This window comes from Homo sapiens, chromosome 2 (assembly GCF_000001405.40).
Source record: "Homo sapiens chromosome 2, GRCh38.p14 Primary Assembly".
Lineage (NCBI taxonomy): Eukaryota > Metazoa > Chordata > Mammalia > Primates > Hominidae > Homo > Homo sapiens.
Genome location: NC_000002.12, coordinates 53,776,217 through 53,793,241, shown reverse-complemented (window position 1 = coordinate 53,793,241; position 17,025 = coordinate 53,776,217). Strand labels below are relative to the sequence as shown.

At 41.2% G+C, this 17,025-nt stretch overlaps 3 protein-coding genes across 7 annotated transcripts in view, besides 3 other annotated features; 2 read left to right on the top strand and 1 right to left on the bottom strand.

Moving 5' to 3' along the window:
• ERLEC1 (endoplasmic reticulum lectin 1) overlaps positions 1–6,198 on the bottom strand; it is a 31,753-nt gene extending 25,555 nt beyond the window's left edge. For all 3 annotated transcript variants that reach the window (NM_015701.5, NM_001127397.3, NM_001127398.3), the window contains exon 1: positions 5,870–6,198. In NM_015701.5, coding sequence (NP_056516.2) covers positions 5,870–6,031 — 162 coding nt within the window. In that variant the 5' untranslated portion in view covers positions 6,032–6,198. The remainder of the gene's footprint in view (positions 1–5,869) is intronic.
• The window catches only part of GPR75-ASB3 (GPR75-ASB3 readthrough), a 189,675-nt gene that overhangs the window by 66,726 nt on the left and 105,924 nt on the right, over positions 1–17,025 (top strand). The window lies entirely within an intron of this gene.
• Positions 857–1,071: a silencer, noted in NCBI's record as "fragment chr2:54019308-54019522 (GRCh37/hg19 assembly coordinates)". NCBI's record gives its function as "represses an EF-1alpha promoter that drives an FKBP-Casp9 reporter gene in an ReSE screen in K562 erythroleukemia cells {active_cell/tissue: K562}" and the evidence as "EXISTENCE:reporter gene assay evidence [ECO:0000049][PMID:32094911]".
• Positions 6,141–6,799: an enhancer, noted in NCBI's record as "NANOG-H3K27ac-H3K4me1 hESC enhancer chr2:54013580-54014238 (GRCh37/hg19 assembly coordinates)". NCBI's record gives its function as "activates a minimal SCP1, AML or CMV promoter by ChIP-STARR-seq in primed H9 embryonic stem cells {active_cell/tissue: H9 hESC(primed)}" and the evidence as "EXISTENCE:reporter gene assay evidence [ECO:0000049][PMID:30033119]".
• Positions 6,206–6,625: an enhancer, noted in NCBI's record as "active region_15755". NCBI's record gives its function as "activates an Ori minimal core promoter by ATAC-STARR-seq in GM12878 lymphoblastoid cells {active_cell/tissue: GM12878}" and the evidence as "EXISTENCE:reporter gene assay evidence [ECO:0000049][PMID:35858748]".
• ASB3 (ankyrin repeat and SOCS box containing 3) overlaps positions 6,289–17,025 on the top strand; it is a 116,974-nt gene continuing 106,237 nt past the window's right edge. For 2 of the 3 annotated variants that reach the window (NM_145863.3, NM_016115.5), the window contains exon 1: positions 6,289–6,421. The gene's annotated coding sequence lies outside the window, so the exon portion shown is untranslated. Of the gene's footprint in view, positions 6,958–17,025 lie in introns of all 3 variants that reach the window. The other variant, NM_001201965.2, reaches the window with a different exon arrangement.

Sequence of the window (17,025 nt, the reverse complement as noted above, 5' to 3'; positions counted from 1 at the left end):
ATTTTAGTAAAAACAAATCTCTGCTTCCTGATAGCAAATGTGATACTCATTTTACTAAGGCAGAGATTTTTGTGTTTTATGACACATGTTCTAAGATAATTCAATTCTCTCTTCACTTTCCTCTTATGGTACTGTGCAACTATGGTACTATTTGGCTATTCCTGGCAAGGAGAACCTCTTCTTATTAAGGACCTTTGTTCTATTCTCAATTTAACAATAACTTTTTTTTTTTTTTTGAGACAGGGTCTTTCACTAACCCAGGCTGAGTGCAGTGACATGATCACAGCTCACTGCAGCCTGACCTCCTGGACTCAGGTGATCCTCCCGCCTTAGCCTCCCTAGTAGCTGGGACTACAGGTACATGCCACCATGCCCCGGTAATTTTTCTGTAGAGAAGGGGTTTTATCCTCTTGCCCAGGTGGGTCTCAAACTCCTAGGCTCAAGCCATCCGTCAGCCTCTGTCTCCCAAAGTGTTGGGATTACAGGCGTGAGCCACTGCCCTGGCCTAACAACTGTTTAACTATAATAAAACCAGTACTACTTGGCACCACTGTAATCCTAAACACAAAAGCAAATTACAGCATTTTCCCTAAGACAAAAAAAACAAAACAAAGCAGTAAGTACTAGCTGTATTAGTTCTAGGACAGTACTGTTTTAAGTGTTTTACATTCATTAACTCATTAATCCTCAAAACAAGTATGATGCTCATTTTTACGGAAACAGACACTAACGCCCAGGGCTTCAACCATTTGTCCAAGGTTAAAAAACCTAGAAGTAGCAGAGGCCAGAGAATTCAAACAGATTGGCTCCATATTCTGTGAGCTTTTAAATATTTTAACATATTTGAATCAGCTTTCACAAACTTCTCCTAGATTACTATGCAGACTTGAATTATGGCCAAGGATACTTGTTTAAAAAGCCACTGTAAGTAAGATGTGCACCTGTAATCTCAGCTACTCAGGAGGCTGAGGCGGGAGAACTGCTTGACCCCAGCCTGGGCAACTTATTAAAAAAAAAAAAAAAAAGGCCTGGCGCGGTGGCTCACGCCGGTAATCCCAGCACTTTGGGAGGCCGAAACGGGCGGATCAGATAGAGGGCAGGAGATCCAGACTATCCTGGCTAAGACGGTGAAACCCTGTCTCTACTAAAAATACAAAAAAAATTTAGCCGGCCGTGGTGGCGGGCGCCTGTACTCCCAGCTACTCGGGAGGCTGAGGCAGGTGAATGGCGTGAACCCGGGAGGCGGAGCTTGCAGAGAGCTGAGACCTCGCCACTGCACTCTAGCCTGGGCGAAAGAGCGAGGCTCCGTCTTTTTTTTTTTTTTTTTTTTTTTTTAAAAGAGCATTATAGATGATGAGGGAATCAAAGAGATTTGAAAGTAACAGTTGCAAAGCTAAACTTATGATAAAGAATTTCTTAGAAACATTTATTCAATTGTGCCAACGATTTGCTATGAGACATAACATTTGTAATTCCTTTCAAAATGGTCTCCAAAATGCTTCAAATGTAAAAAGAAACTGCTTGTTTGGAACCACAGCAAAAAAGGGAAGACAATTCTTGATGCAAATAATAGTCTTTCATTAGTTTAGGAAAGGCTGCTTTCCCAATAAAATAAGCCAAATAGCAATTCTATCTGAAAACTCTGCTGAAATAGTGAGTCACTTATTGGGACCACAAAATATATTTTTAGCAAACTTTACTTTTTGGTAACAGGAATTACGGAGAAAAAGTTTATCTTTTATAATTTTTCTAAAAATTCGGATCCACTAAAATCAGGATTCTGATTGTATAAAACAGGTTTTACTTTAAGAAAACAAAATATAATAAATTCTGAATGTACAGAATTAGATAGTATAAAAAACTTACTTTACATAACAAGGTATTTTCAGTGGAAGAGGAAATTAGCGATTTGACACAAAGTCAAATTTTATTAGAGATCTGACAAAGTCAAATTTTATTAGAGATTTGACATAAAGTCAAATTTTAATATAGTGAAACTAATCAGAGGTGCTGGGGTACTTTAAAAGTTAAGGAACTTAAAAAATATCTTGGCATGAGAGGAACTCCTAATGTTTGACGTGGGTCTGGAGGAATTAGGTTGGTTAGAGGATGAGAGAACTTCTATTCTGGTAGAGGCTATAAAATACACTTGTTGGTAGAACCTGTCAATGTATATGACATGCTATAAACCATGGAGTTGGTCAAATAGTAGTGCTTGGGAAAATCTGAGTAAAATATATTCTACATCAACAACAGAAGTAGACAGAAAATTAGACTGATTTGTGGTTTAATTTGGTGAAATCTCTGAACTCTATAAAGTAATGAATAATTAAACATAACGACAGAGGTGATACTTCAGAAGGAAAATATTAACACAAAAACAAAACTGAGTGCTAAACATCAATAAGCAAAGAATATCATAATTATTAACTCTAGTTAATGTACACATCAAAAATACACAAATTTTTTGGCCAGGTGAGGTGGCTCATGCCTATAATCCCAGCGCTTTAAGAGGCTGAGACCAGAGGATAGTTTTGACCAGGAGTTTGAAACCAGCATGAGCAACATAGGGAAACTATCTCTACCAAAACACACAAACAACCCCCATTTTACAGTTTTGGTGCTTAATACTTTTTCTAAGCAAATCTGAAAGCAAGATTGTAAATAATTATATATTGTTTTGATATATCTGAATGGGAAGACAATTTAAAGCAGACAATTTTAAAGCTTAAAAAATTCAGATCTTCTAATCCAGTCTCTTCCAATTTCAGTTAGTAAACAGACAAAGGACCTTATCCTATTTCATACAGCTGCATATTAGTTAGATACAAATGTCCAACCCGCGGCCAGGCACGGTGGCTCATGCCTGTAATCCCAGCACTTTGGGAGGCCGAGGTGGGCGGATCACTTGAGTTCAGGAGTTTGAGACCAGCCTGGCCAAAATGGTGAAACCTCATCTCTACTAAAAATACAAAAAAAAATTAGCCAGGTGTGGTAGCGCACGCTTACAATCCCAGCTACTGGGGAGGCTGGGCAACAAGAATCGCTTGAACCCGGGAGGCAGAAGTTGCAGTAAGCTGAGATGGCGCCATTGTACTCTAGCCTGGGTGACAGAGCGAGACTCTGTCACAAACACAAATGTCCAACCAACTGGCCCATTAAAAAAAATGGCAGCGCCAGGTGAGGAGAGTAGTGGTTTCTTTTCTTTTCTTTTTTTTTTTTTTTTGAGACAGACTCCTCTGTCGCCCAGGATGGAGTGCAGTGGCATGATCTCGGATCACTGCAACTTCTGCCTCCAAGGTTCAAGCGATTCTCCTGCCTCAGCCTCCCAAGTAGCTGGAACTACAGACATGTGCCACCATGCCCGGCTAATTTTTTTATTTTTAGTAGAGACAAGGTTTCGCCATGTTGCCTAGGCTAGTCTCAAACTCCTGGGCTCAAGTAATCCACCCAGCTCGGCCTCCCAAAATGTTGGGATTATAGGCGTCAGCCACTGTGCCCAGCCAGTAATTTCAGTTAAATGCAAAGGGAAGCCTTAAGGTTATAGAAGTATTAAAAAAAATCAAAAGACCAATGATAATGACTATTGTGGCTTATTTTTACATAAAGGACATAGGCCTTGTGACAATTCACAGAACACTCTAGATTTTTCTCAAAGTAGCACAGACTTAAAGAAAAAAAAGCCAGATGCAATGGTGACCACCTGTAGTCCTCGCTGTTCAGGAGGCTGAGGCAGAAGGATGGCTTGAGCCCAGGAGTTTGAGGCTGTAGTGAGCATAATCATGCCTATAAATACCTACTGCACTCCAGCTTCTAAAAAAAGAATTTTTTTTTTTTTTTTTTTTTTTGAGACAGAGTCTCACTCTGTCACCCAGGCTGGAGTGCAGTGGTGCAATCTTGGCTCAGTGCAACCTCCACCTCCCGGGTTTAAGCGATTCTCCTGCCTCGGCCTCCCAAGTAGCTGGGAGCACTGGTGTGCACCACCACGCCCAGCTAATTTTTGTGTTTTTAGTAGAGATGGGGTTTCACCACGTTGGTCAGGCTTGTCTTGAATTCCTGACCTCATAATCCGCCTGCCTCTGCCTCCCAAAGTGCTGGGATTACAGATGTGAGCCGCCGCACATGGCCAAAGCATTTTTTTTTTGAAATAAAATTGTTAGATACGTGAAAAGTTGGTGTAGCAAATGCTAAGACTGAAAGAAAATGGAATGACAATTTGGTAGTGACCTCTAAAAATGCTAGTTTTAGTCGCTCGCTTATAGTAAGTTTTCAGGGCTGCATATCAGCAAGTTTTTTTAAATTAAAAAAAACACAGGTGCCAAGAGTAAAAAATTTTAATGACATAATTCTTCAAACATCTGCCATATTCACTCCAAGTGTGCTCTTTGGATACAACAACAGGTATTAAAGTATTCTCTTCCAAGCCTGCTAAAGTTATATCTGATTCATAACAAAATTTTACATAGGTATTTCAATGTATCAATATTTTGTGGCATTAATACAAAGAGAAATTTGACGTCCCAGAAAAATATTTACCTAGATAAATTCAGAACATTTGGTTCACACATGTAATCCCAGTATTCTGGGAGGCTCAGGCACGAGGATTGCTTGAGCCCAGGAGTTCGAGACCAGCCTAGGCAACATAGTGAGACCCTGCCTCTAGAAAAAAAAAAAAAAATTAGCCAGGAGTGGTGGGATTTCCCTATAGTCCCAGCTACTGGGAAGCTGAGGAGATCTCTTGAGCCCAGGAGGTCGAGGCTGCAGCCAGTGGTGACCGTACCACTGCACTTCAGAATGGGCAACAGACTGAGACCCTGTCTCAAAAAACAAACAAAAACAGAAAAACCCAAACCAAACCAAACCAAACCAAAAAACCCCTAACACTTGCAAATAGAAAGCTATGTGGTAATAACATCCATTAACTTGACACATCTTGTTTTGACATCATAGTGTCACTTACTGTTTCAATGAAATGGTAATGAAAGAATATAATAAAGTATTGCAAGTTGAATGCTTGAAGGTAATTGGAATAAAAAGTTTAAAAAAATTTTGCTTTTTCCGGGACTTCAATTTGAAGTAAATGAGTTAATTACTACATGGTAAGTGTCATAAGAGTACAATATTTATTAGCCTGCAGTAGGTACACGTGGACAGGAAGACTTTTCAGCGGTCCACTCCCCCAAGAGGGAATTTTCATTTCCGCGAGGTTACAAATGTTCTTCACTACAGGAAAACTCAACATAGAAGCTCATGTTCTGGGGACTCAAATAACAGTCGTAATACATGAAAACTGTAAAGGATATTCTGCATAAAGGGTCGTTAACATCTCACAGGCCAAATAGCCCTCTCAGAAACAACTAGGAAAGGAAAAAGTTCCCTTGGAGCTGTGCGTTTGCGTATGTCCGTGTGTGTATACAACTGAGGGAGAACGAATACGAGAGAGGGAACTCGAGTCTGAAGTACTGTGGTGTGGGCAGGGTGACATGTAATACTGAAGGAAAGAAGTCTGCTGGTGAAGTAAGAGCCACAGTTAATTTTCCGAAAGGAAGATGAGTAAGTGCACCTGACGTTATTCTACGAAAGCTGCTTCTGCAGGGTGGGAATGTTGGGAAGCAAGGTCTAGTGCGACAGAATTGAAAAGGTGGAGAGCAGGTGATTGCTGGATCCCTAATGCTCAGCAAGGGGGACGCATCCACATAACGTGAGAACGAACGAATGAATGAACGCTGCATAAAAGCAGCTTTGGCTTGGGGAAGGTAAGAGTCTGCAGAGAAGGTCTTGGGGAGAAAAAGCAAAGAAAACCGAGGGAAGAGGCCGAACCCTTAGTGTCAGGAGGAGGGGTGGCTGCGGGGTTAGTGAGGGCACTGACCAGAGAGAACTCGGTGCCGGGCCAGTTGACTCGGAAAGGGATGTCATCGCTGAGTTGAGGAAGGGCTCGGCCGCCGCCGGACGCCTCCAGGAGGCCGCAGAGGACCAGTAACACCGGCCCGCCCGGGACCAGACTCCGTACGCCGCCGCCTCCTTCCTCCATCCTCCGCCGCCGCTTTCTCCAGCCACCGCCACAACCTCCTCTGCTCCAGGAGGAGAGGAGGAGGAGGAGGAGGTGGAGGAGGAGGCGGCGGGACTATAAAGCGCCCGGGTATCACCGGCCCAACCGCCGCCACGTCTCCTTCCGGAGAGCCCGGCAACGCCGCCTCCGCCCCCTTGAGCCTCCTGTCACCGTTTCCGGGGCAGACGACATATCAACATCCGGGGGTCGCGGAGCCGTCCGCCTACGGGGGCCGGGACGTCGCCTGCGCGTCTCTCGTTTTCGGACGGCTGCAGCATCGCGGTGGGGATCGAAAGCGGGGGCTTCTGGGACGCAGCTCTGGAGACGCGGCCTCGGACCAGCCATTTCGGTGTAGAAGTGGCAGCACGGCAGGTCGGTGAGTCTCGGAGGCGGCAGCCGCTTCCTGAAGCCATTCCCGCTGCTCTCCAGTGGGCAGGCAGAGGTTTGACCCACACGGAGTGATAGCGGGAAGAAGACAGTGTGAACCGTGCGGGTGCGGGTCCTTAGATGAGAAAATTCGAAGTAGCGATGAGATGTGAGAAATGGCGGTGTTCCTGACTGACCTGCCTTCTTGCAGCTTTTCTTCTTTTTCTCCGCATTTGGCATTTGTACACTTCATTTTTCCCGCTTGAGGCTTATCTCCATCTCTTCTGCTGTGGACCGTGGCCATCTCGTTACTTAACAGCTTCTGACTAACGCAGGGCAGTTTGTTCAGCGACTGCAACTCTGTGTTAGGGGAAACCTGGGGTGAGGTAGCCCGCCATCTCCCCGTAGGTGAATACCGCAAGCCTCCGAATTTGGCGTGGTGGGCGACTCTCGTGGAATGGGCAGCTAGACATCACAACCCTACATTTTTACCCTCCATCTCTAGATTGAAGTGTTGGGGTGTTGTTTTATCAAGGAAGCTGGTAAGGTTCCTTATGTGAGGTTTAGCGCCAGATGAATGTGTGTGTTTATGAACTAAGTCACGTCTGACTGCATCCCCAAATTAGACAAAAAGTTTTGTTTTTCCCTCCCCCTCTTTAGAAAAAATGCCATTGTCTGTTTTGATCTCCAATATAATGGACATAGAGTGTTGGCTTTAGAGAAATTACCATTCCCTAAAGCTCGACAGTCTTGCTAGATCTGTTAAAGACTGGTCGCCCCCACTTCCTCAGATTTGAACCAAATCAAAAAGCAGGAAGGACAGTCCCATATTCTATCTTAAAAATTTTTTTTTAACATCAGGAATCCATAGTATCAAAGAAGATAACTTTCTTCAGAATTGTTATTCGCTAATTATATTCAGCACTTCTTATTAATGCTTAATGTGATCCAGACTCCTGGGATTTTTGTTGTTGTTGTTTGTTTTGAGACAAAGTCTCGCTCTGTCACCCAGGCTGGAGTGCAGAGGCATAATCTTGGCTCACTGCAACCTCCGCCTCTGGAGTTCAAGGGATTCTCCTTTTTCTCAGCCTTCCGAGTAGTTGGGATTACAGGCGCGCGCCGCTACACCCTAATTTTTGTATTTTTAGTAGAGGCAGGGTTTCACCACGTTGGCCAGGCTGGTCTCGAACTCCTGACCTCGGGTGATCCGCCCTCCTCGGCCTTCCAAAGTGCTGGGATTACAGGCCTGAGCCACTGTGCCTGGCCCCCCTGGGCTTGGTAAAATGCCAAATAAATGGGTTTCTGTCTTTGGTCACACAGTCTAGGCAGGGAGATTGTACAAACAAATAATTGCAAACTATTATAGTAGTAATAGTCAATTTTTTTTTTTTTTAGCATTTATTCTGTGCTAAGCACTAGTCTTAAGTCATGAAGGAAAAGAGATGTATTTGACGGAATAAAAATGAAAACTGTCTGTGAGGTCCTGTTTTAGCATTTAGGGCTATAGTGATTGAATCTGTGTTCAATAGAGCTGATGTTCAAGTAAGAGGGGAACTTAAATAAGTAAAATAATTTCTAGTATTGGTAAGTGCTGCAAAGAAACTAAGGTTATGTGAAAGACAATACCTGTAGGATGTGTTGCTTTTAGTACGTAAGTCAGAGGAGACTTCTGTGAGGAAGTGACATTTGAATTGTGACTTGAATGATGAAAAGAAGGGAGCCAGACAAATTTCTAGGCAGAGGCCCTGAGGCAGGAATGAGCTTGATGTGTTGGAGTGATAGAAAGAAGGCCAGTGTGGCTGGAGTGTAAGAGGAAAGTGGTAGAAGAAGTTTGAGAAGCAGAAAGAGGCCAGGGAGACAGCTCTGTAGGCAGGAGAGTGGACAGGACCCGATGTACATTTGTGAAGATCATTGTGGCTGCTGTGTGGAAAATTGATTGTAGGGGGTGTTGTGGGTTGAATTGTGTTCCCCAAAAAGACATGTTTAAGTCCTATCCCCTAGAACCTGTGAGTGTGAACTACTTGGGATAGGGTCTTTGCAAATATAATTCAAGTAAGGATGAGGTCATACTGAATCAAAGGGGGCCCTAATCTGGTGACTGGTATCTTTATAAGAAGAGGGAAATTTGGATACACATGGACACACAGGGAGAATGCCATGCCAGGAAGGAGGAGGCAGCAAGATTGCAGTATGTGTCTATAAGACAAGGAATGCTAAAGATTGCCAGTAATCACCACAAGCTAGGAAGAGGCAAGGAAGAATCCTTCTTTAGAGCTTTCAGAGAGAGAGAATAGCCCTGCTGACATCTTGATTTCTGACCTCTAGTTTCTAGAATTGTGAGACAATCAATTTATGCTGTCTAAGCTGCTCAGTTTGTGGTCATTTGTTACAGCAGCCTCAGGAAGGTAATAGAGGATGAAAACCAAAAAGTAGTTGAGACAAGTCTCAACCAGTTTAGAAGTTTATTTTGCCAAGGTTAAGGACGTGTCACAGACAGCCTCAGGAGGTCCTGACAGCATGTGCCCAAAGTGGTCGGGCTACACTTGGGTTTTACACATTTTAAGGAGCCACAGGACATCAATCAGTACAAGTCTTTTATGCTTTATTTATAGGTTGATTCTTAAACATTGAAAACTTATCAACTATTTACCATATTGTAATTATACAATCATCATTCGCTATAAAACTATTAAGTATGATTGCATCTGCAGAGAAAAAATGTAATTCTACCTCTGCCAATTAAGGTATCCTATTAGCTTCCTAATAATGGCACCATGTTTGCTAAAATAAACTCATTTTGCTCCTGAAGCTGTATTTCCAGCTCTCACACATGTAATTTAGACTAGTTGCTTTACAAGTCAGTTGCATACCTGTTTACTGAGATTTTTTTGTATCATGCCTGGGTTAGGTCTACTGCTTTATGTATTCCATGTCCTCATTTGTCATAGATTTTTTTCCCACCTTGTAGGGGTATAACTAATTTCAAGCAATTTTTTTCAGGAAGGATTAAACAGGTAATTTAATTTCCACAGACTTCATATGTCTGAAAATGCCTTTACCTTGCCTGCTCATTTAATGATAGCTTGGGAATAGACTTAGTCCACAATCATTTTGTTTTCTTCAAAACTCTGAAGACATTCTCTTGCTTTTTGTGTCTAGTGTATCTGATGACAAGTCTAATGCCAGTCTCTTTCTTTTGCAGGTATCATACTTTTTTCTCTGGAAGATTTTATTAGACTGTTTTCTTTATCATTGGTTCTGTGATATTTTATCAGTGTTTCTAGGTGGTGAATCTTTTTTCATTCATCCTTCTTGGCACTCTATGAATCCTATTTTTCACTTCTGGGAAATTTTCTTCAATTATTTCTTTAATTATGTTCTTGACATTTTCTCTGTTCTATTCAGAATTTAGATAGGTTCTTCCAAATACATTTAGATAGATTCTTCCAAATACAGAGGAAAAATATAAAAAGAAAAAATACATAATACGAAGGATCAATCCAAGAGGTCCATTTCCTTGATTTTCAGTTCTTTTCACTTTCTTTTTTCAGTGGTTTTTTCCCCACAGTTTCTAGTCATCTAGTTATTTTTAATGGATGCATTGTTCTCATGACATGAATTTCTTTGAGGATAACACTTATAACTTTTAAATATTTATGTCCCATTCCCGGAAATAGCTCTGCTTCTTTCAGGTCAGTTGTTTATTTTCATCCTTTCTGTCTGTTGTGCTTTTACTTCAAAAAAAAAAATTCTTGGCGGGGCATAGTGGCTCACACCGGTAATTCCAGCACTTTGAGAGATCACCTGAGGTCTGGAAGGTCAAGACCAGCCTGGCCAACATGGTGAAACCCTGTCTCTCCGAAAATAAAAAAATTAGCCGGAAGTCTTGGCAGGCTTCTGTAATCCCAGCTACTCAAGAGGCTGGGGCAGGAGAATCACTTAAACCTGGGAGGCGGAGGTTGCAGTGAGCCGAGATTGCGCCATTGCACTCCAGCCTGGATGACAAAAGTGAAACTTCATCTAAAAAAAAAAAAATTATTGAGCTCTTTTGTAAGTGAGCAGGGTACTAGCTGTTGGGTCTAACTTTAGGGTCCTTGAGTGAAGTGCAAGAAACGAGTTGCCTCTTTCCTCCTCTCCTTCCACCCTGTACCCAAATAAGGAATGCTTTGTTATGGAACATGAAGATGCTCAAAGGCTTCCAGGGTAGACTGTTAAATTAAAAAGAGCAATAACAACAAAATAGATGTGGTTTTAGCCAGAAACAAATACTGTTGCTGCCAGGCGTTTTGTGTGTAAAGGGCTGTGGTAAAAAGTTTGGCTTGCTGTTTCATATAAATATTATAATAATTCTGATTTTAGTCCTACGTCCTTCCTCTGCTTGTTTCTAAGATTGGTACCTCTCCAGGCTCTGCTGGCAAGAATGTCTTCTACATTGCTATAGCCTTCTCATGTATGCATGTGTGTGTGTTCTGGACTGCAGTTTTCTCTGCACTGGCTTAATCCTCAGCATAATCCTACCTGCTTTCTCTTCCAGAATGAATGAGTGCATTTCAGTGCGATTTTGTTAGGAAGCGGAGGAAAATGTATGTGCTTAGTTTGCCTTGCATAGAGTGAGTAATCCATTGTTTTTTTGTTTGTTTGTTTGTTTTTGAGACAGGGTCTCGCTTTGTCACCCGGGCTAGAGTGCAGTTGCATGATCACTGCTCACTGCCATCCCAACCTCTGGGGCTCAAGCGATCCTCCCATCACCTCAGCCTCCTGAGTAGCTGGGACTACAGGTGTGCACCAGCCTGCCTAGCTAATTTTTTTATTTTTTGAATTCTTGGTTTCCCAGAGTGTTGGGATTACAGATGTGAGCCATGGCACCCAGCCAGTACTTGTTGAATAAATCAATGCTGTTGAAAAAATTGGGCAAGGCATACTGTTGTTTAAAAAGAAAATTATGGCTGTAGGAGATAAGTAATTAGGTGAATCTTTTAAATCCTGTTTTAAAAAGTCCTATTTTATTTTGTCCTAATTAAAAAAGAATCTCCGCCGGGCGTGGTGGCTCACGCCTGTAATCCCAGCACTTTGGGAGGCTGAGGCAGGCGGATCACCTGAGGTTGGGAATTCAAGACCAGCCTGACCAACCTGGAGAAACCCTGTCTCTCCTGAAAATAGAAAATTAGACAGGCGTGGTGGCTCATGCCTGTAATCTCAGCTACTCTGGAGGCTGAAGCAGGAGAATCACTTGAACCTGGGAGGCAGACATTGTGGTGAGCCAAGATGGCGCCATTGTACTCCAGACTGGGCAACAAGAGTGAAACTCTGTCTCAAAAGAAAAAAAAAATGGAAAGAATCTCAAAGGGGTTAAGCCCTACCAATGGAGGTACAAAATGAGATAACTACCATCTCTCACTTTTTTTTTTTTTTTTGGAGACAGAGTCTCACTTTGTTGCCTAGACTAGAGTGCAATGGCATGGTTTTGGCTCATTGTAGCCTCAACCTCCTGGGCTAAAGTGATCCTCCCACCTCAGCCTTCTCAGTAGCTGGAACTACAGGTGTGCACCACCACGCCTGGCTAATTTTTTTTGTATTTTTTGTAAGAGATAGGGTTTTGCCATGTTGCCCAGGCTGGTCTTGAACTCCTGGGCTCAAGTGATTTGCCCCCTCAAGCCTCCCAAAGTGCTGGGATTACAGGTGTGAGCCACTTGCCCGGCTTCCTTTTTTGTTCTTTTTAAAATTGTAGGCCTTAATTTCATTTTGTTCCTGTTCAGTGCTTAGCACAGTTCCTGGCATGTTGTAAATGTTCAATAAATGATACTACATTTGTTTTACTTAAGCAATTTTCATCATCGTAGAAAATAAGGATTAAATGAGTTAATATACATAAAGCACTTGGAATAGAATCTAGCATATAGTTAGTGCTACATAAGTGTTAACCATTATTCTCTGACACATGAACACCTTTTTGTTTTTTCTATGAAGCTTTCTCTGATTCTGCTACTTTGAATTGGTAATTTGCCTTTCTGTATTCTGGTTGTATTTTATTTATTTGTTATTAGTTTTAGAGACAGAGTATTGCTGTGTTGTTCAGGCTGAAGTGTAGGGGCCTTATGATAGCTCACTGCAGCCTTGAACTTCTGGGCTCAAGAGATCCTTCTGCTTTATCCTCCAGAGTGGCTAGGACTGCAGACATGTGCCACTATGCCCAGCTAATTTTTACATTTTTGTAGAGACATGGTCTCACTATATTGCCCAGGCTGGTCTCAAACTACTGACTTCAAGTGATCCCCTTGCTTTGGCCTCCCAAATTGCTGAGATTACAGGCACGAGCACCATACCCACCCCTCTGCTTGTATTTTATATCACATCTTTTATATTAAATAACATAGATTTGTTTGCTTGTGTGTTTCTCCACCAAATATGATTCTTGATAGCCGGGGACTATCTTATTTATTTTGGTGGTCTCAGTGCATAGTCATTGCTTGCCACATAACATTAGTTCGCTCATTTGAGCTAGGTCTTAAAGAATGAGGAGGGTGGTGTGATTGGAGCATGAGGGGCAGGGGAGTACGTCAGTGGGAAGTGAAATTTGACAAATACACTGATACCAGATTGACCAGATGGTAAGTAGTTGAATGCCAGATTAAAGGATTTGAATTTATTTTATATGCAGCAGGAAGACATTTTGATTACTGACCTCAGTTTCATATTTTAGGTAAGTAATTCTGAGTGCACAGTAGAGCGTGTATTGGAAAGAGGAAAAGAGATTGGAAACAAGAAGAATATGTAAGAAACTCTGGCTCTTGATGTATGATAAGGCTCTTTAGTTGAGAATCTTTCAGCATGTAACCTTTTACTATCATGTAATCTTTTAAGCCTTATCACAAAAAGCCTTCAGGGCTTCCTTGGTAACTTCATTTTGACTTTGTTAAAAGAAAAACTTTAGACGAAATCAATTTATCAGAATTTGTTTTTGTGTTAAAGGATTAATGAATTTGGCAGCACCCAAAATTAGAAGTAGTTCAGGGAGCTCTTGTTTTAACAGAGTAAGCGGCAGACCTTTGCAGGCTGAATGTGGAAGCGAAGTAAAGAAATTACTTGATTGGACTGGGCATAGTGGCTCATACCTGTAATCCCATCATTTTGGGAGGCTGAGGTAGGTGGATCACTTGAGCTCAGGAGTTCAAGACCAGCCTGGGCAACATGGTGAAACTCCATCTCTACAAAAAATGCAAAAATTAGCCAGGCATGGTGGCACATGCCAGTAGTCCCAGCTACTTGGGAGGCTGAGGTGGGAGGATTGCTTGAGCCTGGGAGGTTGAGGCTGCAGTGAGTTGTGATTGTGCCACTGCACTCCAGCCTGGGCAACAGAGCGAGACCCTGTCTTGAAAAAAAAAAAATTACTTGATTGTCATAGCTACTTGTTTGTCTTATTTGGGTACAATCTGGCAGAAAGTTGCTTGTTAGAGAATAGTTGTTGGTTTCTGATTAAAATTAAGTTGTGACATCCTATGGATTGGGAGGAAATATTTGCAAGCCATACATGAGATAAGGGATTAAAATTCAGAATATAAAAGGAACTCAAATAACTCTATAGAAAGAATACAAATAATCCAGTTAAAAAATGGGCAAGGAACCTGTATAGACATTTCTCAAAAGAAGACATACAAATGGCCAACAGATACATGAAAAAATGTTCAACATTACTAATCATCAGGGAAATGCAAATTAAAACCACTATGAGATATCACCCCAATATGTGTCAGAATGGCTACTATCAAACAGATGAAAGATAAGTGTTGGCAAGGCATGTGGAGAAAGGGGAACCTCTGTACACTGTTAATGGCAATGTAAATTAGTACAACCGTTATGGAAAACAGTGGCAGTTCCTCAAAAAACTAAAAATAGAATTACCATATGATCCAGCAATCCAACTTCTGGGTATTTACCTAAAAGATTGGAAATCAGTATGTTGAAGAGATATCTGCACTCCCATGTTCATTGCAGCATTAATCACAATAGCCAAGATACGGAATCAACCTAAGGGTCCTTAGACAGATGAATGGATAAAGAAAAATCTGGTGTACATACGTAGTGGAATACTATTCAGCCTTAAAAATGAAAGAAACTTTGTCATTTGTGACGACATGGATGGATTGGAGAACATTAAGCTAAATGAGATAAGCCAAGTACAAGCAGACAAACAACATATGTGCTTACTTATATATTTAATCTAAAACCGTTGAACTAAAAGAAGCAGAGAGTAGAACAGTGGTTACCAGGGTTGGAGGGAAGGCATGGGGGAATGGGGAGATGATAGTCAAAGGGGAGGAATTTTTTTCTTTGAGATATGTTGCACAGTATGGTGAATATAGTGACTAATAATGTACTTTATACTTGCTAAGAGTAACTTTTAAAAGTTTTCACTACAAAAAAAATTTGAGGTCATGGATATGTTAACTAGATTTAATTATTCCACATTGTATTCATAAATCATCACTTTGTACCTCATAAATATATAACTATAGTCAGTTTATAATTAAAAAATAAAAAGCAAAGATTAAGTTTTGTTTCACTGTTTACATTGGGCTTCAGTTTGCTTACATAGGAACCCAGAGTCCTAGGACCATCTTAGCCAAATGGCCTCCAATTAAAGATTGCTTACACTCTTTTTTTTTTTTTTTTTTTTTTTGAGACAAGAATCCTGCTCTGTTGCGCAGGCTGGAGTGCAGTGGCGCCATCTTGGCTCACTGCAACCTCTGCCTCCTGGGTTCAAGCAATTCTCCTGGCTTAGCCTCCCAAGTAGCTGGGACTACAGGTGCCCGCCACCACACCTGGCTAATTTTTTTGTATTTTTGGTAGAGACGGGGTTTCACCATATTGGTCAGGCAGGTCTCGAACTCCTGACTTCAGGCGATCCACCCGCCTTGGTCTCCCAAAGTGCTGGGATTACAGGCGTTAGCTACCACACCTGGCCAAGATTGCTTACACTTTTTAAAAAATGTTATATTGTTTTTAGTAAAACAAAGGGTAAAATTTAATAAAAAGGCACAAACACATTTTGTGTATATTGTGAAAATACCATCTATTTCCTCCAAAAGCTTATAAATTGATATGAGTATCATAAACCTGTTTATTTTTCTCCTGGACTAAGTATTGTTCAACGTTTAATGTGTATTATGTACAGGGAGGTAATGTGGGACCAGATTTTCTGGTTGGGAAAGGAGATGAGTACTGGTTTTAGTACAATAAGTTTCCATGCTTGTGTAGCACAACTGGAGATGCCTTCATGTAACAGACATATGAAGAGGTTGAGAGAGTAGGCTGGAGATTGGAAGCTATCCAAGTAAAATTGAAGCCTAGGATTTGATGAGTTTGTGTATTTGATAAAGAATAGTGTAAGAGTTGTAACTGGAAACACAATGAAATGTTTTTGTCTTTGGCTTTAGTGACATGGGATGCTTGATCACTAGTGTCTGATGCACCAGAGAAGCATGAAAATTGCAATCTTTGGGTTCAGTGAGGAAGTGGTCATTGGAGACTTGATACTATAATGATTGGGTGGTATGGCAGAGTAAAGTTGAATTGGAAAGGGATTAAGACGAGTTGATAAGGAAGTGAAGCACTGTGTAGTTAAAAAATTTCTGTGAAGAATAAGAAAGCTGGAAGAACACAAGAAACTGTAGGATTAGTGGTGGTTTTTCCAGTTACAGTGTGTGTACATGTGTGGGCGAACCATTTATAAAGAGAAGGAGGCTCAGTACAATTAAGTAAAACAACCAAGAAAATGAAACTGAAATATAGTATTTTAGAAAGGTAAAATGAACCATAGGAATGAAAAGTCCCTGAAATCCAATAAAGCTAATTTTCATCATATAAATTTGACATACAGAAGAAAAATTTTGGTATTTTAATTGTCTTTGGAAGAGTTAAAATTCTTCAACATAGTAGCCACAGGATTACAAAATCTTTGAGTCTGTAATATATGCTTAGAGTGAATTCAAGGTTTTATTTTAGTTTTTTGAGACAGGGTCTTGCTCTGTTGCCCAGCCTGGAGTGCAGTGGTGTGATCATGGCTCACTGCAGCCTCGAACTCCTGGGTTCAGGCAATAGTTCTGCCTCAGCTTCCTGAGTAGCTGGGCCTACAGGTGCATGCCACTACACCTGGCTAATTTTTAAATTTTTTATAGAGATGGTGCTCTTCTGTTGCTCTGGCTGGTCTCTAGCTCCTAACCTGAAGTGATCCTCCCTTCACAGCATCCCATCACAGCACTCCAGAGTACTATGATGACAGGTGTGAGCCACTACACTGGCCAAATTCAAGGTTTTAGAAATCCATAAAAATAGATTGCCAAAAGCTGAATAAATTAATAGACAATACAGTCAGTATTTTTGCTGAAAAAAGATAGGCATAACAGGAACATTTGATAGGTAACTTTTAGCGTGATGTGATGAAGAGAATTTTAAAGCACATTTATCATCTAATTGCCTGGAAAGAAAGAACCAGGGATGGTAAATTAGAAATTTAATAAATTTATCACCCTTTCTGTTTTACAGGACAAGTGAAATGCCGTCTGGAAAACTAATATTTAAAATGTTGGAAGATATTTAAAGTAGATATGTAG